This window comes from Homo sapiens, chromosome 17 (assembly GCF_000001405.40).
Source record: "Homo sapiens chromosome 17, GRCh38.p14 Primary Assembly".
NCBI classification, from domain to species: domain Eukaryota; kingdom Metazoa; phylum Chordata; class Mammalia; order Primates; family Hominidae; genus Homo; species Homo sapiens.
This window is the reverse complement of record NC_000017.11, coordinates 1,079,061-1,106,605: the sequence shown is the minus strand read 5'-3', so window position 1 is coordinate 1,106,605 and position 27,545 is coordinate 1,079,061. Positions and strand designations below refer to the sequence as shown.

At 54.1% G+C, this 27,545-nt stretch overlaps 1 protein-coding gene across 5 annotated transcripts in view; it reads left to right on the top strand.

Moving 5' to 3' along the window:
• Positions 1-27,545, top strand: part of ABR (ABR activator of RhoGEF and GTPase) — a 226,204-nt gene that overhangs the window by 123,117 nt on the left and 75,542 nt on the right. For all 5 annotated transcript variants that reach the window (NM_001322841.2, NM_001159746.3, NM_021962.5 and 2 more), the window contains 4 exons: positions 5,871-5,969; positions 14,756-14,941; positions 22,979-23,086; positions 27,216-27,276. In NM_001322841.2, coding sequence (NP_001309770.1) covers positions 5,871-5,969; positions 14,756-14,941; positions 22,979-23,086; positions 27,216-27,276 — 454 coding nt within the window. The remainder of the gene's footprint in view (positions 1-5,870; positions 5,970-14,755; positions 14,942-22,978; positions 23,087-27,215; positions 27,277-27,545) is intronic.

The window sequence follows — 27,545 nt, the reverse complement described above, 5'->3', positions numbered from 1 at the left end:
GCGAGCCAAGATCATGCCACTGCATTCCAGCCTGGGCGACAGGGTGAGACTCAGTCTCAAAAAAAAAAAAAAAAAAAAGACTGTGAGAAGAGTACTGATAAAAGGGCACCAAATTCAGGGGAGAAGGGACCACTTCTAGTGGAGTTGGGGATGGCCTGGATGCGTGCATGTGTGTGTGTGTGCAGGCCAAGGGTCATTTCTGGATGATACACTCCTGTCCTGGGCTGCAGAGGTTCTTGGCACACCCTTCCCTGGCAGCTAGTAGGAATCCAAGGCAATTCTCTTTGCTATTACTTTACTTTAGGGGTACTTACCTTAAGCAGCAGTTGCGTTGTGAGCATGTGCCCAAGTGCCAGGCCCATAAATCAATCCTGTTTCCAGTGTCATTTCCAAGACGCTTCATCTTCCTGGGGGGCAGAGGTAAAGTTGGCTGCAGTTTTCTCCAAAGCTATAGCTGGAGTTTGCTGCATATCTCAGCCCAGACTTACCTTTGAAGAGTTATTGATCTGTAAAACTGGTAATGCAAATAAAATACTGATAGCAGCGTCATGTTGCATTTGTAAAATGGCTTACACTTGCCAAAAATGTTTCATGCCATTCTATTTAAAGATAGGTAGGGTTGTGACGGGGGCGTTGTAGAAGGTGCTATTTTAAGGAACTTATTTGTCAGGAATAAAAACCCTTTTGTAATGCAGATTAACCCTTTAGGTATCATTCTGTGCCATTTTTTTTTTTCTTTTGAGACAGAGTCTCACTCTGTCACCCAGGCTGGAGTGCGATGGCACAATCATGGCTCTCTGTGGCCTCCACCTCCCAGACTCAATCAGTCCTCCCACCTCAGCCTCCCCCTCACTACAGGCACATGCCACCACGTTGGGCTAATTTTTATATTTTTGTAGAGACAGGGTTTCACCATGTTGCCCATGCTAGTCTGTAACTCCTGGGCTCAAGCAATCTGCCCCTCTTGGCCTCCCAAAGTGCTGGGATTACAGGAGTGAGCCACTGAGCCCAGCCCAATTCTGTGCCAGTTTTTAATGGATCATCTGAAACATCTCTATTTCTGTTTCACCTGCCCAGGTCTCTTGTGCCTGCACATCATGCCTGTATCCCCCATTTGGATGTTTTTCTAAGTGCGGGCCCCACGTGGTGATTTGAGAAATGATCGGTGGCACCTCGATCTATATTTTGCATTTTAATGGTTAAGTATATATTTTAATATATATTAGAAAAAATATGACCTGTACATTTTTCTTACGATTTCAAATACGTGTAGGGTAAGACTGCTTTTTACAAGTCAGTTCTTGGGCGCAGTGGCTCATGCCTGTAATCCCAGCACTTTGGGAGACTGGGCGCGGTGGATCATGAGGTCAGGAGTTCAAGACCAGCCTGGCCAACATGGTGAAACCCTGTCTCTACTAAAAACACAAAAAGTATCTGGGCGTGGTGGCGTGCACCTGTAATCCCAACTACTCAGGAGGCTGAAGCAGGAGAATCACTTGAACCCGGGAGATGGAGGTTGCAGTGAGCCAAGATCCTGCCACTGCACTCCAGCCTGGGTGACACAGTGAGACTCTGTCTCAAAAAAAAAAAAAAAAAAAAAAAGTTACTGTAAAGAACAATATTGAGTAAAGAATAGTGCAGGTGGTGGTATGTGAGTATGGCAAAATTTTAAGGGTGGGATATGAACAACCAAAGTTTCAAAACATTGCCTGTGCCCTATGGTGCCTGCCTAAGACCTCAGACAGCAATAGGGAGCCCAGAATACGGGGATCCACCCTTCAGGAGAGAGGGGCCACTGGAATTTGGTCTTTGTCCCCCAGCAGTTGACCCGTCTTCTCTGTTCTAAATTCTGCCAAGGAAGCAGCTGAAAGAGACTTCCTCAGCGCCTAGCGCTGGGAGAGGAGAGGGTCTCTCGATGCCTCTACACTGCCTCAGCTGTCCTGAGACTGAGATGGGCCAGTTGTCCTGAGGTTGATGCTTGGTGTGGGTATAAGCCCCAGGCACGGCCACCCCCACCCCCAGGCCCAGTGGCATCTACTCTGAGCAGATCCTGCTGGGTACTCCTGGCAGCCAGCTGTGGCCCGTGAACTGACTTCTACCGTCTGTGAAGCCTCAGACCCTCGCTGCATGCCCTATAGCCTTGAGTCGCAGCCAGAGAGCCAGCCCTGCTTGTTGTCTTGGAGGCCAGTGCTACTGGAGAGATTGTGTCTTTGCTTGGCCTGGAACCAGATGTTTGGAGGCTTTATTTAGCCTCTCAACTCTGTGGAGGACCAGGCCTGAGCTGGCCACGCCTTATCTCTAGACATTGTTCCTACCAGAGTGACCTGACGTCTTTGGTTTGGCGGCTTCAAGCTGCCACACTGTCAGCCTAGCAGATTGTGCAGGATGCTGAGGATAAACGAACCCACCAGGACTGCATTTCACAAGTTCTGGCTGGGAGGAAGTGAGGACAGGCAGCTTCCCGGTGCTGGAGACAGGTAGGCAGCGTGGCAGAGGCTGTGGGACCTGGAACTCTTTAGAGAACTCGCTCCGGAGCATTCTAGGCACGTGGGCACCTCTCCTTCACCTTCGTATTCCCAGTGCCTGGCTCCCGGTGGGAATGGGTGAGTGAGTGGTGAGCCTGGTTTTTGATGAGACAAGAGACGCCCTGCAAAGACTGAAGAAACAATGTGAATTTCCTCATGGCTCTAAACTGGGAATTGTGGAGTCTGAGGAAAGCTGGAAAAGATGGGAGATGGAACAGGCCTTCCTTTGGTGGTGACTGAGCAACGGGTCTCCTGTTAGCCAAGTGCACCGAGGCTAATTTCCCATCCGTACGCTCTCCAACGCCTTTGCTCCAATCTCAGCCAAAACTGCAGCGTGAACGGGGCCCAGAGCAGGACTCTTGGGGCTGACTGTTGCCTCTTGAGGGAGGGTCTTCCTGAGTTGTCTTCCCATCAGAACCAGCCTTTCAAGAGTGGACTATGAATGGAAGTCTTGAGGGGAGGATCTTGCAGAAATGGGCGATTACAGGGCTTCCAGGGTCTATGCTCGTGCCAGGGGGGATGAAGCTTGTTTGTGGCTGGGGCTGCAAATCCCTTTCTTCCCCCCATCCTAGTCCAACCAGCTCTACAGTTACAGCTCACGGTGTGGCATTTGCTAAACCCTCAGGCAAAACCTTGGTTGGCAGGGAACAGGAGGGAGTGCTAGCCCCCAGCACAGGGGATGAGTTCCCATTTGTCAAGGCTGGGAAGCAGCAGGAAGACCCCTGAGGGTCTGACCTGGAGGGGCTGGAGCTGGGGGCTGTTCCAGGCTCTGATCTTGTCCCCCGGGGCTACGTGTGCTGGAGGCTGTGCAGGCCTCTGGCAGTCCCGACTCTCGGTGCCTCAGGAAGATGATAACACCTGCCAGGTTTTGAGACTCCGGTGAATTGAACCACAAAGATAGCTAAGCTCAGTTCCTGGAATTTGTGAAGCCGCCAATAAGTAACTATTGCCCTTGCCTGAAGCGTGGGGTCTGTCTTGCTTTTCTAATGCTGCTGAAACAAATCGCCACAAACTTAAGGGCTTAAAACCACACAAATTTATTCTCTTATACAGAAATCTAAAAAGGATCTCGGCCCGGCTCCATGGCTCACACCTGTAATCCCAGCACTTTGGGAGGCCGAGGCGGGCGCATCACCTGAGGTCAGGAGTTTGAGACGAGCCTGGCCAACATGGTGAAACCCCATCTCTACTAAAAATACAAAAATTAGTGGGTGTGATGGTGGACGCCTGTAATCCCAGGTACTCGGGAGGCTGAGGCAGGAGAATCGCTTGAACCTGGGAGGCAGAGGTTGCAGTGAGCTGAGATCATGCCATTGCACTCCAGCCCTGGGCGACAGAGGGAGACTTTGTCTCAATAAGTAAATACATAAATAAATAGATTAATTAAAATAAAAAGGATCTCCAGGGCTGCATTGCTTCTGGAAGCTCTAGGGCAAGCTTTTCCAGCCTGCGGCCATACGGCCCAGGACTGCTTTGAATGTGGCCCGACACAAATTTGTAAACTCTTAAAACATTATATATTTTTCTTTTAGTTCATCTGCTGTCGTTAGTGTTATTGTATTTTATGTGTGGCCCAAGACAGTCGTCTTCTTCCAGTGTGGCTCAGGGGAGCCAAAAGATCGGAAGCCCCTGCTCTAGGGGAGTGAGTTCATTTTATTGCCATTTCCAGCTTCCAAAGGCTCTCTGCATTCCTTAGCTCGTGGCCCCATCCTCTGTCTTCAAACCTACCAGTGTAGCATCTTCCAAGCAGTCCCTCACCACTACCCTGTCTCCCCGGCCCTCTCACTCCCCTTCTGTGGCCACGATGCCTCAGGGAAAGATGGCATTTTAGGCAGCAGGTAAAGAACGAACCGAAAGCTAGAGACCTTTGAAGATGAGGAGGCTGGTTCTCCTGCGTGTGGGGGAGACTGAGCGATGTCCTGGCTGTGGGAAAGACTGGAAGGGTAGGGACGGGCATCCGGGCCACTGCAGGTGGCTCATAAAGGATATGGTGGGCCCCATGTCCCAGTCTAGGGCCGAATCTTTACTTGTTTTTTAAATGTCTTTCCGGCAGGGTGCGGTGGCTCACACCTGTAATCCCAGCACTTTGGGAGGCCAAGGCGGGCGGATCACGAGGTCAGGAGATCGAGACCATCCTGGCTAACACGGTGAAATCCCGGCTCTACTAAAAATACAAAAAGTTAGCTGGGCGTGGTGGCGGGAGCCTGTAGTCCCAGCTACTCGGGAGGCTGAGGCAGGAGAATGGCGTGAACCCGGGAGGCGGAGCTTGCAGTGAGCCGAGATCGCGCCACTGCACTCTAGCCTGGGCGACAGAGCGAGACTCCGTCTCTAAAAAAAAAAAAAAAAGAAAAAATAAATGTCTTTCCCACTAGAGTCTAAGCCACTTGAGAACAGGGGCCACTGTCTGTTTCCCATGGTATCTATAGGGCCTGGTGGACATTCAGTAAATATTTATTGAATGAATAAATAAATGGACACATAGCCCAGTGGAATCCCCAAGTACTCGCGTTTTGCGGTATTCATACTCGGTCCTTGGCAAGCATCGGGCAAGGTGGCACTCTTAGGAGTTGAATCCAGCTCTGGTGTGTGGGACAGGCAGGAGGAGAGGAAGAGAGGGAGGAAAAGTCGGTTCGAGAACCCAGGTGGAAAATAGATTGAGGGAAGCAAAACGAGATGTTACAGGAGGAATATGGGTGATTGTCTTTTCCTTTTATATTTCTGCATGTTTTGTATATTTTTTATAATAATATCTGACTTTTATCCCCTATGAAAGTGTCGCTTAAAATAAAAGGAAAGGGGAAAGGGGGGCCGGGCGCGGTGGCTCACGCCTGTAATCCCAGCACTTTGGGAGGCTGAGGCGGACGGATCACCTGAGGTCAGGAGTTCTATACCAGCCTGGCCAACATGGTGAAACCCCATCTCTACTAAAAATACAAAAAAAATTAGTCTGGCATAATGGCTGGGCATGGTGGCTCACACCTGTAATCCCAGCACTTTGGGAGGCTGAGGTGGGTGGATCACCTGAGGTCAGGAGTTCTATATCAGCCTGGCCAACATGGTGAAACCCCATCTCTACTAAAAATACAAAAATTATCTGGGCATGGTGGCAGGTGCCTGTAATCCCAGCTACTCGGGAGGCTGAGGCAGGGGAATCACTGGAACCCGGGAGGCGGAGGTTGCAGTGAGCCGAGATTGTGCCACTTTACTTCAGCCTAGGTGACAGAGCGAGACTTCGTCTCAAAAAAAAAATAAAGGTCGGGGGGGAAGGGCAGGGAAGCAGACCGTCCACGCAGGGTTTTGGCCTCCTTGCTCATGAGCTGTTGGCTGTGCTTTGCGTTTGTGCAGGTGGAAGCAGGGAAAGGCCTGGAGATGAGGAAGCTGGTTCTCTCGGGGTTCTTGGCCAGCGAAGAGATCTACATTAACCAGCTGGAAGCCCTGTTGCTGGTGAGTACAGTCCCTGCTCTGGGGCCTTCCGGTCCCCCCGCCCGTGTTGGGTGATGTCATGCTCTGAAGCTGCTTTTGGAGTTGGAGAGGAAAGGGGACCGTACCCGTCCCTCCCTGTGGACAGAGTCTGCAGCTGGTCTGCTTCTGGCTGGGCATCGGGCAGCCCGGGTCATTGCCAGAAAGGGCCTGTGCCTCTCAGCTCCAGCTCTCAAAAGGCAGGAGAAGCACACCCGGCTTAGAGATGGCAAACACACCTGTCACCCACGACCCTGGCATAGGGCATCGTGAACCCATCATGGTGCTCTGCCTGCCTGGGCGGGGGCCGAGCGCCTTCTCCACGCTGTGCTCTGGGCAGTCATTCCCAATCAATCCAGTTAAGAAGTCTCTGCCGTCTTGTGTCCAAGTCCTTCTACCTCCCTGGGTGAGGGAACCGTTAGTGCCATCCTGAGGCCCCGTGTCAGGAAATATGAGGTGGGAGGCTGTGTTCTTTTTTTTTTTTTTTTTTTTTTTAAGACGGAGCTTTGCTCTTGTCACCCAGGCTGGAGTGCAGTGGTGCGATCTCGGCTCACTGCAACCTCTGCCTCCCGGGTTCAAGTGATTCTCCTGCCTCAGCCTCCCGAGTGGCTGGAATTGCACGTGCACGCCACCAGTCCTGGCTAATTTTTGTATTTAGTAGAGACAGGATTTTATCATGTTGGCCAGGCTGGTTTCCAACTCCTGACCTCAGGTGATCTGCCCGCCTTGGCCTCCCAAAGTGCTGGGATTACAGGCATGAGCCACTGCGCCCGGCCTGTCTGTGTTCTTTTGAGAAGCGGCACAGCTCTGAGGCATCAGGCCAAGCTCAGCCCTCGGTAACATGCCTCAGTTCCCCTCCCAGATGGAGGCATCGTTGTGAGAGTCTGATTGGGAGGGGAATATGAAAATGTTTTCGGAAGATAAAAGTACTACACAGATGTGAGGTGGTTTTGCCTTGGAAGAAAGTGCTCCTTAGATGTGTCTGGATGTTATGCAGAGTGATCGTGGCGTGTCAATCTTTCTTTTGGGTATTTTGCAGCCTGAGACATAAGGTAATTGTCAGAAAAGGGAGACGCAGAAGTGTGGATCTGTGGAAGCTCATTCTTAACAAGAATTCTAAGATGCACATTTAAGTACTTGCCATGACGTGAGGTGTTGTCACACGTCAACCCTGAGATGCTGTCAGTGTCCCAGGGGACTTGACATTTATGTTACCCAGGAATGACTGTGTAAATGTGCAGGTGCAGGCCGGGCGCCGTGGCTCAGTGCCTGTAATCCCAGCACTTTGGGAGCCCCAGGTGGGCAGATCACTTGAGGACAGGAGTTCGAGACCAGCCTGGCCAATGTGGTGAAACCTTGTCTCTGCTAGAAATGCAAAAAAAAGCCAGGCGTGGTGGTGCATACCTGTAATCCCAGTTACTCAGGAGGCTGAGGCATGAGAATTGCTTGAATCTGGGGGCGAAGGTCGTAGTGAGCTGAGAGTGCGCCACTGTACTCCAGACTGGACGACGGAAGTGAAATTCCTCAAAAAAAAAGGCTGGGTGCAGTGGCTGACACCTGTAATCCCAGCACTTTGGGAGGCCGAGGTGGGTGGATCACCTGAGGTCAGGAGTTCGAGACCAGCCTGGCCAACATGGTGAAGCCCCATCTCTACTAAAAATACAAAAAATTAGCTGGGCGTGGTGGCGGGCCCCTGTAATCCCAGCTACTCAGGAGGCTGAGGCAGGAGAATCGCTTGAACCCGGGAGGTGGAGGTTGCAGTGAGCCGAGTTTGCACCATTGCACTCCAGCCGGGGCAACAAGAGTGAAACTCTGAATGTGCAGCTGTTTTGCCACACGCCAGGCTGAGTACGTCCCATCTCTCCAGGAGTTTATCTGTGTGTACGGAGCTGTTTTCCAAGTGAGGGGCAGTGTGGCAGGTAGCTGAGGGTCCTGGTCTGGGGCCAGAGCTAGGGCAAGACTTGGCCCTGCCATTAAGAGCAGGCGTATTGCACTGTTTCTCAAACTGTGCCTCTCAGCCCATCAGTGCTTTGGGTTGTGAAATCAGTACAGTGGGTTGTGAAACCAGTACAGTGGGTTGAACCAGCATTTTTAAACCAATGAAAAAATGTCAGCATGCATCATACACGGGAAAGATAAGTGAGGGAACTTTCGGTTTGTTGTCTGTCTGTGTGCCTGTATATATATGTAATTGCCGGGCCCATGGTGTCTTACACCTGTTGTGGGTTTGAAAACTGCTGGCTTTGGCCGGGCGCCGTGTCTCAAGCCTGTAATCCCAGCACTTTGGGAGGCTGAGGTGGGCGGATCACAAGGTCAGGAGATCCAGACCATCCTTGGCCAACACGGTGAAACCCCGTCTCTACTAAAAAAGTACAAAAAAAATTAGCCGGGCGTGGTGGCGAGCACCTGTAGTCCCAGCCACTCGGGAGGCTGAGGCAGGAGAATGGCGTCAACCTGGGAGGCGGAGCTTGCAGTGAGCAGAGATTGCGCCACTGCACTCCAGCCTGGGCGACACAGTGAGACTCCATCACAAAAAAAAAAAAAAAGAAAAGAAAACTGCTGGCTTTGGGCAAGCCCTACATAAATTCCTTGAGCCTCCATTTCTGGATCTGAAGATGAGAGGGATGCCATTCTTTCTCTCTCTTTCCATGGGGTTGAGAAGATCGGGAGATGCTTTCGGGACCTCATACAGCGTTGAGTTACTTAAGACACTCAACTGTTAGTGGAAGAAAGGAGGACAGGCAAAGAGACAACCCGTCAGACATTCGTGAAACACGTCTTCCAAACCGTGAATTGCTGTCCAAAAAGGAACATAGTTGTCATTACTAACAGGGTGTGTATTTGAAAGGAGTTCAGACAGAGGATCTAGACTGCCTGGCCGTACTGGCTCCAGGCTTTCAGCAGGTGAATGAGCTATCGTGCCTCAGTTTTTCCATCTGCAAACTGGGTATACAAATAGTATGCTTTTCATGGGGTCGTTGTGAGGATTAAAGGAATTTATACACAGAGTTCTTTTTTTTTTTTTTTTTTTGAGACGGAGTCTTGCTCTGTTGCCCAGGCTGGAGTGCAGTGGCACAATCTCGGCTCATTATAACCTCCGCCTCCTGGGTTCAAGCCATTCTCCTGTGTCAGCTTCCCAAGTAGCTGAGATTACAGGCACCCACCACCACGCCCAGCTAATTTTTGTATTTTTAGTAGAGATGAGATTTCACCATGTTGGCCAGGCTGGTCTTGAACTCCTGACCTCAAGTGATCCGCCCGCCTCGGCCTCCCAAAGTGCTGGGATTACAGATGTGAGCCACTGTGTCCGGCACATAAAGCTCTTAGAACACAGCCTGAGTGTTCGTTGACACTGTTAATTTCTCTATTGCTGGGAGAGGAGACAGGTTAGGGCTTCGTGGTTTCTGCCACAACACACCCGTTCCCTGAAGGAGGGAGTGGCGCCTGTCCCCATCAGACACGGAGCCCTTAGATCCCACCTGCCACCCACGAGCCTCTTCCTCTGGGCCAAGACCAAGAGCCCCTCCCTGCTCTGCCTTTCTAACAGCTCATGCCCCAAAGGCAGAATCTGTGGGGCAGGGGCCCCCTTCCTGATATGCCTGGCGCAGGTTCCCCCCTTCCCCAGCTGTCTCCTCCCGGGGCAGGTTCCCCCCTTCCCCGGCTCTCTCCTCCCCGGGCAGGTTCCCCCCTTCCCCAGCTCTCTCCCGGGGCAGGTTTCCCCCCTTCCCCAGCTGTCTCCTCCTGGGGCAGGTTCCCCCATTCCCCAGCTCTCTCCTGGGGCAGGTTTCCCCCCTTCCCCAGCTCTCTCCTCCCGGGGCAGGTTCCCCCACTTCCCCCAGCTCTCTCCACCCGGGGCAGGTTCCCCCCTTCCCCAGCTCTCTCCTCCCGGGGCAGGTTCCCCCCCTTCCCCAGCTCTCTCCTCCCGGGGCGGGTTCCCCACCTTCCCCCAGCTCTCTCCTCCTGGGCCCCTGCTTGGCTCTTTCTTGAGCAGAGACCAGAGGGAGCAAAGGAAGAACTCGCTGGGAGGCCAGGTCTGTGGTAGGAGGGCTCAGGAAGAGGAGTAGGACCCTCCACAGCCACAGCCTCAGAAGAAAACCTCAGAGTGAAAGAATCACACCCTTCCTCCTCTCCTCCCTGAGCTGGGAACCCCTGCACCCTCCCCACCCCTCAGCTAGGAGGAAGCTAAACCTTCTGCTCTTCGGGGTGGCCTCGCAAAGGTGCCAGCTTGAAGGAGAAGAAATTCGTTCCCTCCATGCTCGCTTTCCCACTCCTGACCCCATTCCCACCGCTCTGCCCCAGCCTGTTTGCTTTCATCTGAACACTTCCTGATATGCAAAGGGCTGGGTGTGTGTACCTAAAACCATGTGCACACACGGGGCAGACGAGCCTCCACACAGAAGCCTCCGTCCTGGCCTCTGGGGTGCTTGTGGGGGTCATCTTCTGGGGCCCTCCTGCTTCCTGGTGGGCTCTGATTACAGGAAAAGCCTGGGAGCCTGGGCCGAAGTAGGGGGTGAAGGAAAAAAGATGAAGCCAACTGCATTGAAATTCTGGATCTCCTTGACACTGGGAACTGAGCTTGGGAACTGTGTCTTGCTACGCTGGGGCCACAGGGTGAGGCCACTCCCCAGAGCCCCTCCCACCGCTGGCCACGACTGGCCCTCCTGGGGTGGACTCCTGGCCACGCTGCATCGCAGGCTCTTTATCTATAAAACAGGTGAATGAGGCCTTCCTCCCTGGGCTCCAGTGACGAGTGACTCGGGTGGCATGGCAGCAAGCATGCCAGGCCTTCTGGGGCAGGAGGTGGAGGAAGTGGGTACATTTCTTTCCCTTATTTCGAAAGGCCGGTCGCTGGGGGACAGAGCTGACAAACGGCTATGTGAAGTCCCACTGGCAAGTGAGAACCGGCCCAGGCCCGTCTTCCTGAGAAGCAGCTGGTATGGGAGCCAGGGTTGAAGTCACTCACGGGTCCTCTCCGAGAACTCGAGTGGTGAAATGGAGAGCCGGGGCCTGCCCTTGTCCCTGCAGCAGGACTGGGGAGGAGGGGGTGCCTGAGTGGTGTGCTAGCGCTTTGGCAGAATGGCTGTGCCGTGCCGAAGCTCAGTGTGGGTCACCTTGCCTTTCAGTCCACCCTCCTGCCCCTGAGCCCATACGCAGGACTTCACCAGAGACAAATAACGGCCTCGAGGGTCCTGGCCAGCCAAGGGCACACACCCAGCCCTGTCCCCTCCCCGCGAGTGAAATCAGGAGTAACAGCCAAGGTCCCCATCGTGTCATGAGAACCATCTGATGCCCCAAGCGCAGGCCCCGTCCTTGTGACTGGCTGTGGGTGAGCGTCCATTTCTTCCCCTTTTGCAGACGGGGTGGGAAGTTGAGGAGGAAGCATAACCATTGTGTTTTGTCTTCGTGTGGGTGGCAGATGAGCGCGTCGCGGCTTCTGAGAAATCCCGTCTCCTTGGCCTTCCTGGGACTGCTGACCTTCCTGCTTCCCTTATTTCCCCCTCAGTGGGGACTGCGCCAAGGCGGGGACAAGAATTCTTGGGTATGGGGATTCTGTGGCGACTCTGCGGGCTCCTCCGTGGGGTCCTGCGTTGAGGTGAAAAGGATAAACTCTTACGACGATGTCAATCCTGAAGCTAGTTCCATGTCCCTCATGGAGGGTGGGGAGTCCCCAAAGCTTTCAGCTCACCCACCTGGGCTTGGGGGGACACTCTTCCCTTGCTCCTGCCTCCCGGTGCCTTCTGTTTCCCTGTCTGGCATGCCTCTCTACGCCCCCACTCCTCCACCTGCTCAGCTCTCCAAGGACCTGGTATGTGTGCCTCCTCCATGCAGCCCTCCAGGCTACTCCAGCACAACCTTGGAACCATGTGGTTGGTGCTTACAGTCAGTCGCATCGTCCATAGTCATTTCATCTGTGTTGGCCCATTTTGCCCAACTGGATTATAAAGGTCTCAGCCAGGCATGGTGGCTCAACACCTGTCATCCCAGCACTTCAAGAGGCCGAGGCACGTGGATCACTTGAAGTCAGGAGTTTGAGACCAGCCTGACCAATATGGTGAAACCCCATATCTACAAAAACTACAAAAACTAGCTGGGCGGGGTGGTGGACACCTGTAATTCCAGCTACTCAGGAGGCTGAGGCAGGAGAATCGCTTGAACCTGGGAGGCGGAGGTTGCAGTGAGCCGAGATTGCACTATTGCACTCCAGCCTGGGTGACAGAGTGAGACTCTGTCTCAAAAAAAAAAAAAAAAAATTGCAGTCTGGGACCATGATCGTGTACGCACTGACGGGAATGCCAGTAGGTAGCGCATGGCTGTATTATCCCAGTTTCACACATGAGGCTGCTGGTGACACGAAGCCCAGGGATGCTGAGTGATGTGCGCACAGCAGAGCTGCGACTCAAGCCCACCCTGCCTGGCCTGCACCAGGTGGAACCCCATGCGCTTGCCTAGCAAGGACCAGACACCGAGGGGCCGTTGGTTCTAGGACGGCGAGGGTCAGAAGGAGAGGCCTGACCGGACGCAGAGGGGCCGTTGGTTCTAGGACGGTGAGGGTCAGAAGGAGGGGCCTGACCGGACACCGAGGGGCCATTGATTCTAGCACAGCGAGGGTCAGAAGGAGAGTCCTGACTGGACACTGAGGGGCCGTTGTTTCTAGCGCGGCGAGGGTCAGAAGGAGGGTCCTGCTTTGTCCTGCATGGATTGTTGGATCTGGGCTTTTTAGAGCTCGGAGGATGAAGGAGCCAGAAGGCAGAGCACCATCTGGGTGTCTGAGTAGATGAGACGACTTCTTCCAGTGAACATGGGTTCTGTCTCCATCAGAGTGAGGCGATATATCTGAGTAGATGAGACTTCATCAGAATGAGGTGATGTGAGGCTGGAGTGAGGCTGGGCTGGGAGTTTGCCGTGGTTGGCTGGAGCTGGTGGTCGTCGTTCAGAGGGAGCTGGCGCTGGCTTTGGTGTTCCCTTCAGTGCAGCATTTTCAGCAGTGGAGTCACCCATTCTCTGCTAGAATGCTTCTCTTGTCGGAAAGCTCACTACTTAATCCTATGGGGGACAGCTCTAGTGAGCCCGAATCTGACCCCATAACTTTTCCCCACTGTTCCTGGGTCTGCAGAGCAACGTAGATTAAGTCTAAGCCTCGTTTTTGTTTTTGGAGACAGAGTCTGGCTCTGTCACCCAGGCTGGAGTGCAGTGGCGCAATCTTGGCTCACTGCAACCTCTGCCTCCTGAGTTCAAGAGATTCTCCTGCCTCAGCCTCCTGAGTAGCTGGGATTACAGGTGTGCACCACCACGCCCAGCTAATTTTTGTAGTTTTAGTAGAGACGGGGTTTCACCATGTTGGTCAGACTTGTCTCGAACTCCTGGCCTCAGGTGATCTACCTGCCTCGGCCTCCCAAAGTGCTAGGATGACAGGTGTGAGCCACCGTGACCAGCCAAGTCTAAGCCTCTTTCCACGTGGCCTTCAGGTAGGTGAAGAACATCAACAGAATCCGACATGGCTGGCCGGGCGCGGTGGCTCACGCCCGTAATCCCAGCACTTTGGGAGGCCGAGGTGGGTGGATCACGAGGTCAGGAGATCAAGACCATCCTGGCTAACACAGTGAAACCCCGTCTCTACTAAAAATACAAAAAAAATTAGCCAGGCGTGGTGGCGGGCGCCTGTAGTCCCTGTTACTTGGGAGGCTGAGGCAGGAGAATGGCGTGAACCCGGGAGGCGGAGCCGAGATCGCACCACTGCACTCCAGCCTGGGCGACAGAGCGAGACTCCGTCTCCAAAAAAAAAAGAATTCGACGTGGCTGCTCTCCCTCTGGCCACCCTGCCCTTCCCTGCCACACCTTCCCTGTATGGCAGGTTATCAGGCCCTGTGTCCTGCAGGGCCTTTGCAGTACAGCCTGGTCATCTTTGGTTTTTTTTTTTCTGATTATTCATATTCATTCATTGTAGGTGATTTATAAAATGCAGAGAACCACACTGAGGAAATGCCTGCACGTCCCGTTATCCCACGGTCCCACTGCTAGGCTGGAAGGTGATGGCATCAGCTCCCGGCCAGTGCTGGGGGTTGGTCTGTGTTATCTGCCACCTCACCGTCTACACTGGCAGGCCCTGGAGCATCTTGGTATAGACAGGCAGGCATTGAGAAAGAGTCTGAGACTGGAGACCCCTGCCATGCGCAGTGGGAAGGACCATCACGGTCGCTTAGCAATGTCTGCCACGGGGGTGGGCTGCAGTGGGGGACACGTGAACGCCCATGCCTCTCCCTGTGCCAAGTGACGGGAACTTGGAACATCAGTGAGGCCAAGACTGGTCTTGAGTAACTTCGGGTCCCTACCTTCTGAGTCCTAGAACCACATTCTGTTTCTTGGAAGGAAACAGCTATAGGCTTGAGTTCCCTGTCAACCCTCCCTTCCACTGAAGTGTGACAAGGAGCTTATGACTCGGGGCACAGGCTATCGTGGAAGAAAGACGCGGATCCTGTTAACCCAGTACAGGCTGCTGCTGAGCTCAGCTGCGTGGTAGGGGAGTGAGCCCAGGCACCACCCCTCGGGCCTGGCACAGCTGCCAGGCCAGGTTCCTGCTGTCGAGTGTGCGGCTTGTTGGGGCCTGTGGCAGTGGCTCCTTGATACAAAGCTCGTTTCAGTGCCCTGCCTTTGGCAGCCTTGTCTGGGCAGGACTTGGGCAGCGGGAAGGGCTAACGATCGGCCCCGGGGCCTGCCGACACTCTGGTTTGTTTACCCCCGACCTCTGCTCTTTCTTCCTCTGTTTCTCCCAGCCCATGAAACCCCTGAAGGCCACCGCCACCACCTCCCAGCCCGTGCTCACCATCCAGCAGATCGAGACCATCTTCTACAAGATCCAGGACATCTATGAGATCCACAAGGAGTTCTATGACAACCTGTGCCCCAAGGTGCAACAGTGGGACAGCCAGGTCACCATGGGCCACCTCTTCCAGAAGCTGGTGAGTCTGCCAGGGATGGAGGGTCCTCACGCAGGGCCTCAGTGGAGCCCATAGTGTTGCAGGAGCCTCAGGAGAGGACCGGGCAGCCCTCTCGGACTCCTTGAAGGCCTGAGACCTCTCCGAGTCCGGGAGGAAGGCCTGGGCCTGTGTGTTATGGGGTGCCTGGGGCCGGGGCCTTGACTCTAGGCCTCCCCTGGTGCAGCCCTGGGAGCTTCTGGGGTGGTGGAGACAGGCTGTGTGGATAGGTCCTTCCAGGGGTGGTGGAGATGGGCTGTGTGGATGGGCACTTCTGTGGGAGCACCATCTCTCTCCCGGAGGGTGCTCCTTCTCCCTCCCGGAGGGTGCTCCGTCTTTCCCGGACGGTGCTCCCTCTCTCTCCCGGAGGGTGCTCTGAGGAACCAGCCCTGGAATGAAGGCTTCTTGCTGGGCTTCAGTCTCCTGTCCCTCAGTGAACAGAGGGGCACATGCCGGGTTAGGGGCATGAGGACTGCTCCCCTGAGACCTCGGGTCTGTAAAAGGAAGCAGTTGGGCACACTGGCCGATGATCCTCTCCTGAGGTCCCAAGAGCAGGAAGCACTGAAGCCCAGCCCTGCTCACCACTGCAGGGTCGGGAGCGGCAGGAGTGGGTGGGTTAACATGCAGACCTCGTGTTGGGAAACGTTCACAGAAGTCTTCTGGTTCCCTGTGCTTCTGTGACACCCTCTCCCCCAGCTCTGCCCCATCTCTGGCTGTGTCCCCTGGAGGACCCCCAGGTCAGACTCATGGAGCTCCCTCCCCACCTCTGCTACGTAACGTCTGACCGCCCAGCAGGCAAGAGGGAGACTGGGAGTCCAGGCCGCGGTTCTTCTCTGGGTGTGAGTGGCCAGAGGACCTTCTCCTCCTTCCTGCCCTGTTCTCTGGGTGTGAGAGGCTGGAGGCCTCCTCCCCTCCCCTGCCGTGTTCTGGCTGAATGGACAGGGCTCTGCCTTTCTCACGCTGGAGAAGACTCTCCCTCTCCTGCCTGGACACTCCTAGGACCTCTAGCTGAGTGTGTTCAGAGCTGAGCTCCCTGCCTCCGGCGTCACCTGCTCCGCTTCCTGTCTTTACCTCACCGAGTGCTTCAGACTCTTTCTGGCTGCACCCCCTCCCCCACCTGTCCTGTGGACTCCACTTTTTGGCCGTTGCTCACAGCCGCCTTTTCCTCTTCTTGGCCACCCATGGCCCTCACCTGGACAGCTGCGTATCCTCCTGTGTGGCTCCTGCCTCCAGGCCCACTCACCTCCCACCCCCACCTCTCCTTAGAGGGGAGAGAGTCACTGAAACCTCGACGGCCCCTTCAGCGGATCCCCACGGCCCTCGGATGAAGGTCAGGCTCCGAGGAATGGCTCGAGAGACCCTTTGCACACTGACCCGTGTCCAGCCCCAGCCTTGGCAGCTTCCTCCCCGCACCTCTGTGCTCCTGACACTGGACTTTCTGTTCTCAGTTCCCAGGGCAGGCACTTTCTTAACTCTTGGTACTTGAGGCCCCGTGTGCCTGAAACGTCCTTCCCCCTCTCGTCTGGCCTCCCCTGGTCAGTTCCCAGCTTAGAAGGGACCTCCTCCAAGAAGGCTTTCCAAGTCGCCAAATGCAGGCCTTGTGCCAGTCCTCGTAGTGAGCACTAGTAACTGCCTGACTCCCCCAAACCACAAGTTCCAGGAGGACGGACTGCATTTCCTTTTTTTGTTGAGACGGAGTCTCACTCCTGTCGCCCAGGCTGGAGTGCAGTGGCGTGATCTCGGCTCACTGCAACCTCCTCCTCGCGGGTTCAAGTGATTCTCCTGCCTCAGCATCCCGAGTAGCTGGGATTACAGGCGCCCACCATCACACCCGGCTAATTTTTGTATTTTTAGTAGAGACGGGGTTTCGCCATGTCGGCCAGGCTGGTCTCGAACTCCTGACCTCAGGTGATCCGCCCGCCTCGGCCTCCCGAAGTGCTGGGATTACAGGCGTGAGCCACCGCGCCCGGCCTGCATTTCCTTCTTCTTAGACTCCCAGAACCAGCCCAGTGGTCACTGCTTGAATGAGTGAATGCACCGTGACCTTGACCACTGGGCCTCGGGAGAACTCGGAAGGGCATGGAGGGAGACGTTGCAGGGCCTGAGATTTCTGTCCTGAGAGTCCTGTTTCTCCAGCACAGCTTCTAGAGCCGTGTCACAAAGTGGGCTTGAATCCCAGCGCTGCCAGATTAAACCTGCAACTGGGCAACTTACCCAACCGCTCTGAATCAGCTTCCTCATCTGTAAAAAACAGGATAGTAACAGTATTTACCTCATTGGGTGATTTTGAGGAGTTAATATCTGAAAACTGCATGGGGCTGAGTGTGGTGGCTGACGCCTGTAATCCCAGCACTTTGGGAGGCTGAGGCTGGAAGATCACTTGAGGCTTAGAGTTCAAGACCAGCCTGGGCAACATAGCAAGACCCTATCTCTACAAAGAAATAGAATAGGCCTGACTGAGCGTGGTGGCTCACGCCTGTAATCCCAGCACTTTGGGAGGCCGGGGTGGGTGGATCGTGAGGTCAGGAGTTCGAGACCAGCCTGGCCTACATGGTGGAACCCCATCTCTACTAAAAATACAAAAAAATTAGCAGGGTGTGGTGGAATGCACCTGTAGTCCCAGCTACTCAGGGGGCTGAGGCGGGAGAATCGCTTGAACCTGGGAGGCAGAGGTTGCAGTGAGCCAAAACCACACCATTGCACTCCAGCCTGGATGACAGACTGAGACTCTGTCTCAAAAAAAAAAAAAAAAAAAAATGGCTGGGCACAGTGGCTCACGCTTATAATCCCAGCAACACTTTGGGAGGCCAAGGTGGGCGGATCACCTGAGGTCAGGAGTTCAAGACCAGCTTGGCCAACATGGTGAAACCCCGTTTCTACTAAAAATACAAAAATTAGCCGGGCATGATAACACGCACCTGTGATCCCAGCTACTACTCGGGAGGCTGAGGTGGGAGAATCGCTTGAACTCGGGAGGCAGAGGTTGTAGTGAGCCGAGATCGTGCCACTCCACTCCAGCCTGGGCGACAAGAGCAAGACTCTGTCTCAAAAAAAGAAATAGAATACAATAAAGTAAAAGAAAAAGTGCTTGGAACAGGGCCTGGAACATCATAAATTAATAAGTACTCAATAACTGGTCATTATCATCAGTGCCATTATTATTATTATTATTATTATTATTATTATTATTATTATTAAATTGGGAAGAGGCACCCTGGAAGGTATCCTTCCAAGGGAATGCCACACTCTGGTTCTAGCATACCCCCCCCTGCTCCCTCCGGTTCAGGGATGGTGAACACCTGTCATCACTGCCTGCTCACCTGAGCTGAGTGGCCTGGGGGGCATCCTCTCCTCATCCCTCAGGAGGGTAGAGGAGAGCAAACCTAGGGTTGCTGGAAACGCTGTCACAGTTTATCTTTGTCACTTGGACCTGGCTGTCCCCGGTTCTGGTCTTGGCTCCACAGGCCTGGCCGTGAATCTGCTACCCACCACTTTCCCTCCCCAGCATCGTGAACCGATGCCTGAGGCCCCTGGGGCTGCAGATTTGGGAGGGCCCGGGGGGAGCCGGGTCAGGTCTGGCATCCGGAGGTGGTTTATTTTCAGCCGAAGACTCTGGGTATTTGATTATTCGTTACTGAGAGAAGGGAATTAGCGTCTCTGCTGTTTGTTTTATGAGATCACTCCAGTGCCAGGCTGCTGTTTCCAGGCAACCTGCACTTCCCAGTTAATGAACCTGCCAAGCCAGGCCTCGGGCCCTACCGCCTGGGGTGACTGTGGCAGCGGCAGTCCCTGAGATTACCGTGACCCTGGACGCAGGCCTCCGCACGGCTGGCTCCTGCCCCTGGCTCCTGGGAGGGTGGTGTGCCAACCCGGGCCTCCAGGCTTTCTCCTTCTTGTGGGAAAGGGGGCAAGAGGAGCCTTTTCCTGGAAGAATATCGGTGATCTGACTTTGGCTTAGGCAGCGACTGTCTAGTATGCCTCGTGTAGCGTGGGCATTGATGGGCCGGGCCTCAGTACTCCCTGGAAAAGGAAATAAACTCCCTCCCGTCCGGCCCCGCCCCCTTTTAAGGTCAGGCCCCACCCCCTTTAAAACTCAGGCCCCGCCCTCTTTTAAAAGTCCGGCCCTGCCCCCTTTTAAAGTCCTGCCCTTCTGCAGCTGAGACCTGAATGCCTCTGGCCTTGGCGTCACGCCGGGCGTCCCCACTCGCGCTCCCCTCTGGCTTTTCCAGATGCCCCCCGCTCCCCTGCCCCACCAGCTTCCTCAAAGGGCTCTGCCTCTGTACTGGGAGGCTCCAGGCTCAGCCGATGCTGCGGCCAGCCTGCCCCCACCCCTACCCCCACCCCAGCCTCTCTGGGTCCTTGGGGAGCATGAGGATCCTGCAGAAAGCAGAGTGGTCCGGGGTGGGGGTCCACAGCAGCCCACTTCCCCCAGCACCTTGGTGGGAAGCAGAGGCCCCTGAGGAAGCCAGGCAGCAGCTGTATCCCCCTTGCTGCTGTATTGAAAAACATTTAAACCAGAAACTCCAAAGAATAACAGCAGAACCTTCTAATGAAGAAAATACAGCGTCACACATGAAGGTGGAGTCTCCCCTCCCTCCTCCCTCTTGAAGCAGCTACTGGCATGAATTTGGTGGATAGCCTTCCAGACTGCAGTTTGTGTGTTTACTACATATCTGTATCTATTTTGGGTTGGCCTGTACTTTAAAAAAAAAAAAAGGTCTTGCTATGTTGTCCAGGCTGGACTTGAACTCGGGCTCAAGTGATCCTCCCACCTCAGTCTCCCAAGTAGCGAGGGCTATAGGTGTGTGTACCACAGCTCCCAGCTGCATGTACTTTAAAAATGTGTCTAAGCCAGGCGTGGTGGCTCACGCCCGTAATCCCAGCACTTTGGGAGGCGGAGGCGGGTGGATCACCTGAGGTCAGGAGTTCAAGACCAGCCTGACCAATATGACGAAACCCTGTCTCTACTAAAAATACAAAAACTAGCCGGGTGTGGTGGTGCGTGCCTGTAGTCCCAGTTAGTCAGGAGGCTGAGGCAGGAGAATCACTTGAACCCAGGAGGCGGAGTTTGCAGTGAGCCAAGATCGTGCCAGTGCACTCCGGCCTGGTTGACAGAGCGAGACTCCATCTCAAAAAAAAAAAAAAAAGTGTATAAGTATACACATATATCATATTTTACAGTTCAACCCATGTTCGTTTTGGAGCTTGTCAGCAATCGTATTTTACAGTTCAACCCATGTTCGTTTTGGAGCTTGTCAGCAATGCTATGTGTAAATCGGGTGCATCCATGTTCATGGCTGTGTGCGCGGCTTCCCCCGTTTGTGAGCATTTGTTACCAGTCCCTCCACTATGAGGAGGAAAAGTGAGATGGTGAACACCCTTGAGTCCCCTGGGGCACACACATAGGCCATTTGCTCCAGAGCACTGCTGTCTAATGGAAATAGCTTATGAGCCACGTACATCATTTCACATTTTCTAATACCCACCTTTTTTTTGTTTTTTTGAGACGGGGTCTTGCTCTTGTCACCCAGGCTGGAGTGCAGTGATGCAATCTGGGCTCACTGCAACCTCCACCTCCTGGGTTCAAGCGATTCTCCTGCCTTGTCCTCCCAAGTAGCTGGGACTACAGATGCGTGCCACCACGCCCGGATAATTTTGTATCTTTAGTGGAGACAGGGTTTCACCATTTTGGCCAGGCTGGTCTCGAACTGCCAACCTTAGGTGATCTGCCCGCCTCGGCCTCCCAAAGTGCTGGGATTACAGTTGTGAGCCACCGCGCCTGGCCCCTAATACCCACATTTTTAAAAGTAAAAATAGGCAGGTGAAATTAATTTTGAGAATATCTTTTATTTATTCCCGCAGATCCAAATATTATTTGAACATGTAATCAGTATTTAAAAATTAACGAGGTAATTTACATTCTCTTTTACATACTAAGGCTTTGGAACCCACTGTGTATTTTACATGTCCGGCACGTCTCAGTTTGAACCGGCCGTATCTCAGGTGCTTGGTAGCCTCAGGTAGCTGGTGGCGACTGCACTGAACGATACGGCTCTGCAGTTTGTATGTAAAAGTGGATTTGCTAAGCAATCGATGGGCTGTGCCTATCCACACTGTTATTAGTTCAACTGAAAATAGGCCATGCCTATTCTCAGCTTTATTAGTTATTAACAAATTGCTCTCCAAATAATTGTACTAATTTACACTTCCCCGAGTAGTCTAAGAGTTTAAATTGGCCGGGCGCGGTGGCTCACGCCTGTAATCCCAGCACTTTGGGAGGCCGAGGCGGGTGGATCACGAGGTCAGGAGATCGACACCATCCTGGCTAACATGGTGAAACCCCGTCTCTACTAAAAAAAAATACAAAAAATTAGCCTGGCGTGGTGGCGGGCGCCTGTAGTCCCAACCACTCAGGAGGCTGAGGCAGGAGAATGGCGCGAACCTGGGAGGTGGAGCTTGTAGTGAGCCGAGATGGCATCACTGCATTCCAGCCTGGGTGACAGAGCGAGACTCCATCTCAAAAAAAAAAAAAAAAAAAAGTTTTAATTGGCCGGGCGCAGTGGCTCACACCTGTAATCCCAGCACTTTGGGAGGCCGAGGCAGGTGGATCACCTGAGGTTGGGAGTTTGAGACCAGCCTGACCAATATGGAGAAACGCCGTCTCTACTAAAAATACAAGATTAGCCAGGCGTGGTGGCGGGCGCCTGTAACGCCAGCTACTCGGGAGGCTGAGGCAGGAGAATCCCTTGAATCCGGGAGGTTGCGGTGAGCCGAGATCGCACCACTGTACTGCAGCCTGGGCAACAAGAGCGAAACTCCATCTCAAAACAAAAACAAAAACAGGGAGTTTAAATTTCCCCATATGCTTGCCAGCCGTTGCTGTCAATTAGACTTTTAAATTTTGACCCTTCTGATGAGTATAAAATATCTCGTGATGGCTTTAATTTGAATTTCTACCCTTTGGTCCCTTAAGAGGAAGTGCTTATATACAGCGCAGCGAAGCCTTTCCATAAATATTTGGGGAATTGACTTATGGAGCCTCGGTTTCCCCTTTTGCAGAAAGGGGCGATGGGGTCTGCCCTGCCTCTCAGAAGAGGCGAGGCTCTGTGTGGTTGTGACTCAGGTTGTGACTGTGTGAGTGACAGGCAAACGTGTAGTGAGGCTGGGGCTTTGGCTCCTTGGAGGTAGAGGAGGTGGAAGAGGTGAGGACGGGGCCTCAAGGCCAAGGGAAATGGAAAGACAGCATCTTCATTTGTTGTTTTGTTTTCTTTTTGAGACGGAGTCTTACTCTGTCACCCAGGCTGGAGTGCAGTGACACGATCTTGGTTCACTGCAGCCTCCACCTCTTGGGTTCAAGCGATTCTCCTGCCTCATTCTCCTGAGTACCTGGGATTACAGGCACGCGCCACCATGCCCAGCTAATTTTTGTATTTTTAGTAGAGACGGGGTTTCGCCATGTTGGCCAGGCTGGTCTGGAACTCCTGACCTCAGGCCTCCCAAAGTGCTGGGGTTACAGGCGTGAGCCGCCACGCCCGGCCAAGACAGCACCTTTAAATGTCGTTCCCCACGCTGCACGTGGGGAGGGAGGCCTGAGCAGGCCACACGTGCCAGCTCCCCCCAGCACACACACCCCCCTCTCTCCCTGCTCCGGCTAATTCCAGGATGTGAAGGAAGTATGAGACATTAAGGGATTTCAAACCCTGGGAGACCTTCACCGTGCTGAGGAAAGCTGGATGCTGTGAAGAGTTGAATTTCTAGCAGGCCAACAAAGGCCCTAGCCTGGTCTCCCCAACCCCAGACCCCCTCATTAACCTTATTGGCTGAGCTGGTTTCCATGGAAACTGTCCAGTTCAAAGGGACACTGTAATATGTTCATCCCTGCGTTTCCCCAAGTTCCCAACGAGCTGAGTGAGAGGTTTTCAGTGCAGGGGAGCTCCCGGTGCTCCGTGAAGCTTTCATCCATTCATTAATCCTCTCCCCTCCCACCCTCCTCTCCCTCTGTTCCCTGACTCCTCCCTGCAGGCCAGCCAGCTCGGTGTGTACAAAGCGTTTGTCGATAACTATAAAGTCGCTCTGGAGACAGCTGAGAAGTGCAGCCAGTCCAACAACCAGTTCCAGAAGATCTCAGAGGTAGGCCGCTCCCCACATAGCCACCCTGAGGGACAAGGAGCTTTGGGGGCTGCTCAGAGCCCTTGGTCTCCCCTCCCTCGCTTGCCAGTCGGTGAAGTGGTTACTCTAATGGGTAACACTTAGCCTGATATTTGCTTTCTTGCACCTGACATTTTCCCTCTTAATAGAAAACGATCTATTTTATTTATTTTTTTATTATTCTCTTTCAGATTAGAGAGAGGAACAGGGGAGGCAAAAAAAAAAAAAAAAAAAAAAAATCCAAGGCAGTGTTCTCCCACACCACACTATGGTGACCTTGAGCAAGTCACGTCCCCCCTCTTGGCTTTTATGTCCTGTCCGGTAGAATGAGGGGTTTAGAAATGGCCAGATAATCCTTTTTTTTTTTTTTTTTTTTTTGAGACAGAGTCTTGCTCTGTCGCCCAGGCTGGAGTGCAGTGGCGCGGTCTCGGCTCACTGCAACCTCTACCCCCTGGGTTCAAGTGATTCTCCTGCCTCAGCCTCCCAAGTAGCTGGGATTACAGGCGCACACCACCACGCCTGGCTAAGGTTTGTATTTTTAGTAGAGATGAGGTTTTGCCGTGTTGGCCAGGCTGGTCTCGAACTCGGGTGATGTGCCCGTCTCAGCCTCCCAAAGTGCTGACATTACAGGTGCGAGCCACTGAGTCCAGCTTGGCCAGCTAATCCTGACCTTGCTTGATAAGAATCACTGGGGCATTGTTTAAAACACAGATTTCCTGGCACCTTCCCCGGAGCTTCTGATTCAGAAGGCTTTGCGTGGGGCCCAAGATTCTATATTTGAACAAGCTTCTGGGTAATATTTATGACAGGGAAGTCTTGAGGAAATTTGGACTATAGGTCGTCTTTTAAGGTTCTTGCCAACTCTAAGACTGCCATCCCATAAACACAAAAAGGGTAAGAGCCACTTATGTGGAGAAGGAGCCTTAGAATCCCTGGCCGGGAACACGCGTGCTTCTGCTCCTGAGGCCCAGCCTTCCTGGCCAGGAACACGCGTGCTTCTGCTCCTGAGGCCCAGCCTACCTGGCCGGGAGCACACGTGCTTCTGCTCCTGAGGCCCAGCCTTCCTGGCTGGGAACACGCGTGCTTCTGCTCCTGAGGCCCAGCCTTCCTCCCGCACTCCTCCACAGGGCAGAGGTGCAGTCCTATCTGCCATCAACATTTCTACCTAAGAGGTGGCATGGAGGGACAGTTGCTTAGGATCCTTCAGGACAGAGCCCAGTTCATCCCTTTGTCCAAAAAGACCTCAGTGGCACCCCTGAAGCACTGGCCTGAGAGGAACAGCCCCCAGCTCAGGGCAAGAGAACCTCCATCCTAGAAAAGGGGAGAAGCTTCTGCAGTTTTGGGAGTCCTGCCGTAAAGGCCCCTCTTGGCCCTTTGTGTTCCCGTCTCAGCTCTAACGCTAGAAGAGTTGGGGAAACGCAGGGTAGTTTTCCTGAAACTTCAGGGGTGACGGTCGATGCCCACGTTTAGAATCCACCGAGAGGCAGCAGAGAAGCTGACAGTTGGAGATGAACATGTCACCTTCATTACTGTTAAAAAAATGCAGCTTGGAAAATGTGGATTTGGATCTGTAGCCACAGTGGGCTTGCTGACACTTCGCCTCTGGAATGAAACGTACCTATAGAAGCCGGGCGTGGCGGCTCACACCTGTCATCCCAGCACTTTGGGAGGCCGAGGCGGGCGGATCACCTGAGGTCAGGAGTTTGAGACCAGCCTGGCCAACGTGGCGAAACGCCGTCTCTACTAAAGATACAAAAATTAGCCGGGCGTGGTGGTGCACACTTGTAATCCCAGCTATTTGGGAGGCTGAGACAGGAGAATCTCTTGAACCCGGGAGGTGGAGGTTGCAGTGAGCTGCGATCACGCCACTGCACTCCAGTCTGGTGACAGAGCGAGACCCTGTCTGGAAAAAAAAAAGTATCTATTGAGTCCCTTGCAGGAATAGGAAAACACAGGCCCCTCTCCACAATGAGGACAGAGCCCACGCCTCTTACCCAGTGTGCAGAGAGAGGATGGCTGACCATAGTTTCTTCTCCCAGACCCATGGAGCAGATGTGTCACCCTCTGCCTGGGAGGACGAAGTGCAGGGTGGGGAAGTCCCTCTCCATGGAGTCAAGTGGCTGGAGAGGCCAGGTGCAGTGGCTCACGCCTGTAATCCCAGCACTTTGGGAGGCCGAGGCGGGAGATTGGCTTGAGCCCAGGAGTTCAAGACCGGCCTGGGAAACATGGTGAAACCCCGTCTCTATTAAAAATACAAATAAAAGGGGCTGGAGAAATGGTGCTTTCCCTGCGGTTTCCAGCCCAACCCAGGAACTACCTGGACTCCCCTGGTCTGTGTTCAGATCAGCCCTGCCAAGGCCGCCCAAGATCCCGGGGTCAGACATGGTGCAGAGAGTGTGGGGTCTTCTCTTGGCCTGGGCTGATTGCCTGTTCTCTGTGCCTAGGCAGAAACCCCCACACCCAACCATAAGCCCCTCACAGCCTGCCCACCCTGGAGGGCAGAGCCAGGCCCCTGGCTTTCTGCCAGGTGGCTTCTCATCCTGACTCACTCGATGACGTGCTTGCTTCCTGCTGAGGCTGCCACTTAATTACTGCAATTAGGCTCCTCTCTGCAGCAGGAGTGATTTCATACCCTAGACTTCACTGGAGGGGGCGTGAGGAAACATTCCCGAAATCTGGGAGTCCAGGCACCAGCCAGAGACACAGGCTGGGGACGCTGAGTATCCCCCACCCCCCCGCCCCCCAAAATATACACACACCCAAGCTCCATCTCCAGGAGTTTTCTCTGTCTAGAAACAGCTTGAGACAGAAGTAGGAAGTTCCTGCTGTCTGAGCGCTTCCTCCCCTGCAGACCAAGCAGGTGGCATCACCTCGGCAGCTGACCTTGGCCTCATCACCTGGGCAGCTGACCTTGGCCTCATCACCTGGGCACCTGACCCTGGCCTCATCACCTGGGCACCTGACCGTGGCCTCACCTTGCCTCCTGCCTTCCCTCCCACACCCCTCTTTGAGGCTCCGTGTGCTCCGTCTGCCAAGTGGGGATGGTATTACAGCTCCAGTTGCAGGCTGCACTGTCCTGTTAGCAAAAGCTGGGGCTGGAACGTCTCTAAAGGAGGATAAAGAGGCTTGGAGCAGATGAGTCATCCCGGGGGTCTTTCCAGTACTCACTACCTGCTGCCTGGCTTGGGATCCAGGAGGGGCATTGGCTGTTCCTCCCTCGAAGCTTCCTCTCGGACCCCCAGCATGGGCAGTGGTGGGTGGGGAGTGTCGGGGGTGCTGGGGGCTGAGTAAGTGCTCTCTGATGGGGGTAGGATGCAGCTCACTGTCCTGGGGAGCTCAGCATCTCTGCCGAAGGTCCACCACTTCCCTGCTGGCGTGTGGGACCCTTCCTTCCTACCTCATGGGTTCCTCATGCCCTAAAGATTGGCTGGAGTACCTGGCGCTGGTCAACTCAAACCCTGTCTGCCCTTGGCCGACGTGTAGGGTTCCTGAGTCGGGGTTCCTGTAATCACAGGGCTCCCTGCCAGCCTCTCTCATCTCTGGGACCTGGAGTCCCTTCCTTCTTGCCCACGCCCCAGCCACTGGACTCCACGAGGCTCCAGGAGTTCACAGGTGTGGTGCAGGGGATTGGGGTGGCAGAGGCAGCCCATGGCCATGGGGCTCCTTTGTCTTTCTTTTTTTTTTTTTTTTTTTTTTTTTTTTTTTTTTTTTTTGAGACAGAGTCTCGCCCTGTTGCCCAGGCTGGAGTGCAATGGTGTGATCTTGGCTCACTGCAACCTCCGCCTCCCAGGTTCAAGCGATTCTCCTGCCCCAGCCTCCCAAGTAGCTGGGATTACAGGCACCTGACACCACACCTGGCTAACTTTTGTATTTTTAGTAGAGATGGGGTTTCACCGTGTTGACCAGGCTGGTCTCGAACTTCCGACCTCAGGTGATCCGCCCACCACGGCCTCTCAAAGTGCTGGGATGACTGGCGTGAGCCGCCACACCCGGCCTCTGTTCTCATATGTACACCCTGAGTTTCAGAACTCCCCTTCTTGCCAGGCTCACAGTGGGGGCTGGGAGAGGTGAGGGACAGAACAGGCCATGACTCCTCTCCTCCCTTTGGCAGGAACTCAAAGTGAAAGGTCCCAAGGACTCCAAGGACAGCCACACGTCTGTCACCATGGAAGGTACCTCGGGGAGCGGGCTGGATTACAGGCACCTACCTTTGTCTGGCTGTGCAGGCAACAGGCTGCGTGAACGCGGCGCCCTTCCCCTTGTGTGTGCGTGTGTGTGAGCGCGTGTGAGCGTGAGCGTGTGTGAGCGCGTGTGAGTGTGAGCTGAGTGCGCGTGTGCGCGCACGCGAGGACTCTAGCCTCGTGCCCAGGCAGCCAGCCAGCTACAAACGTGCTCCTCTTTAGGATGCCAGCAGGCTGCTGGCTCCCTCCCTCCCTACCCC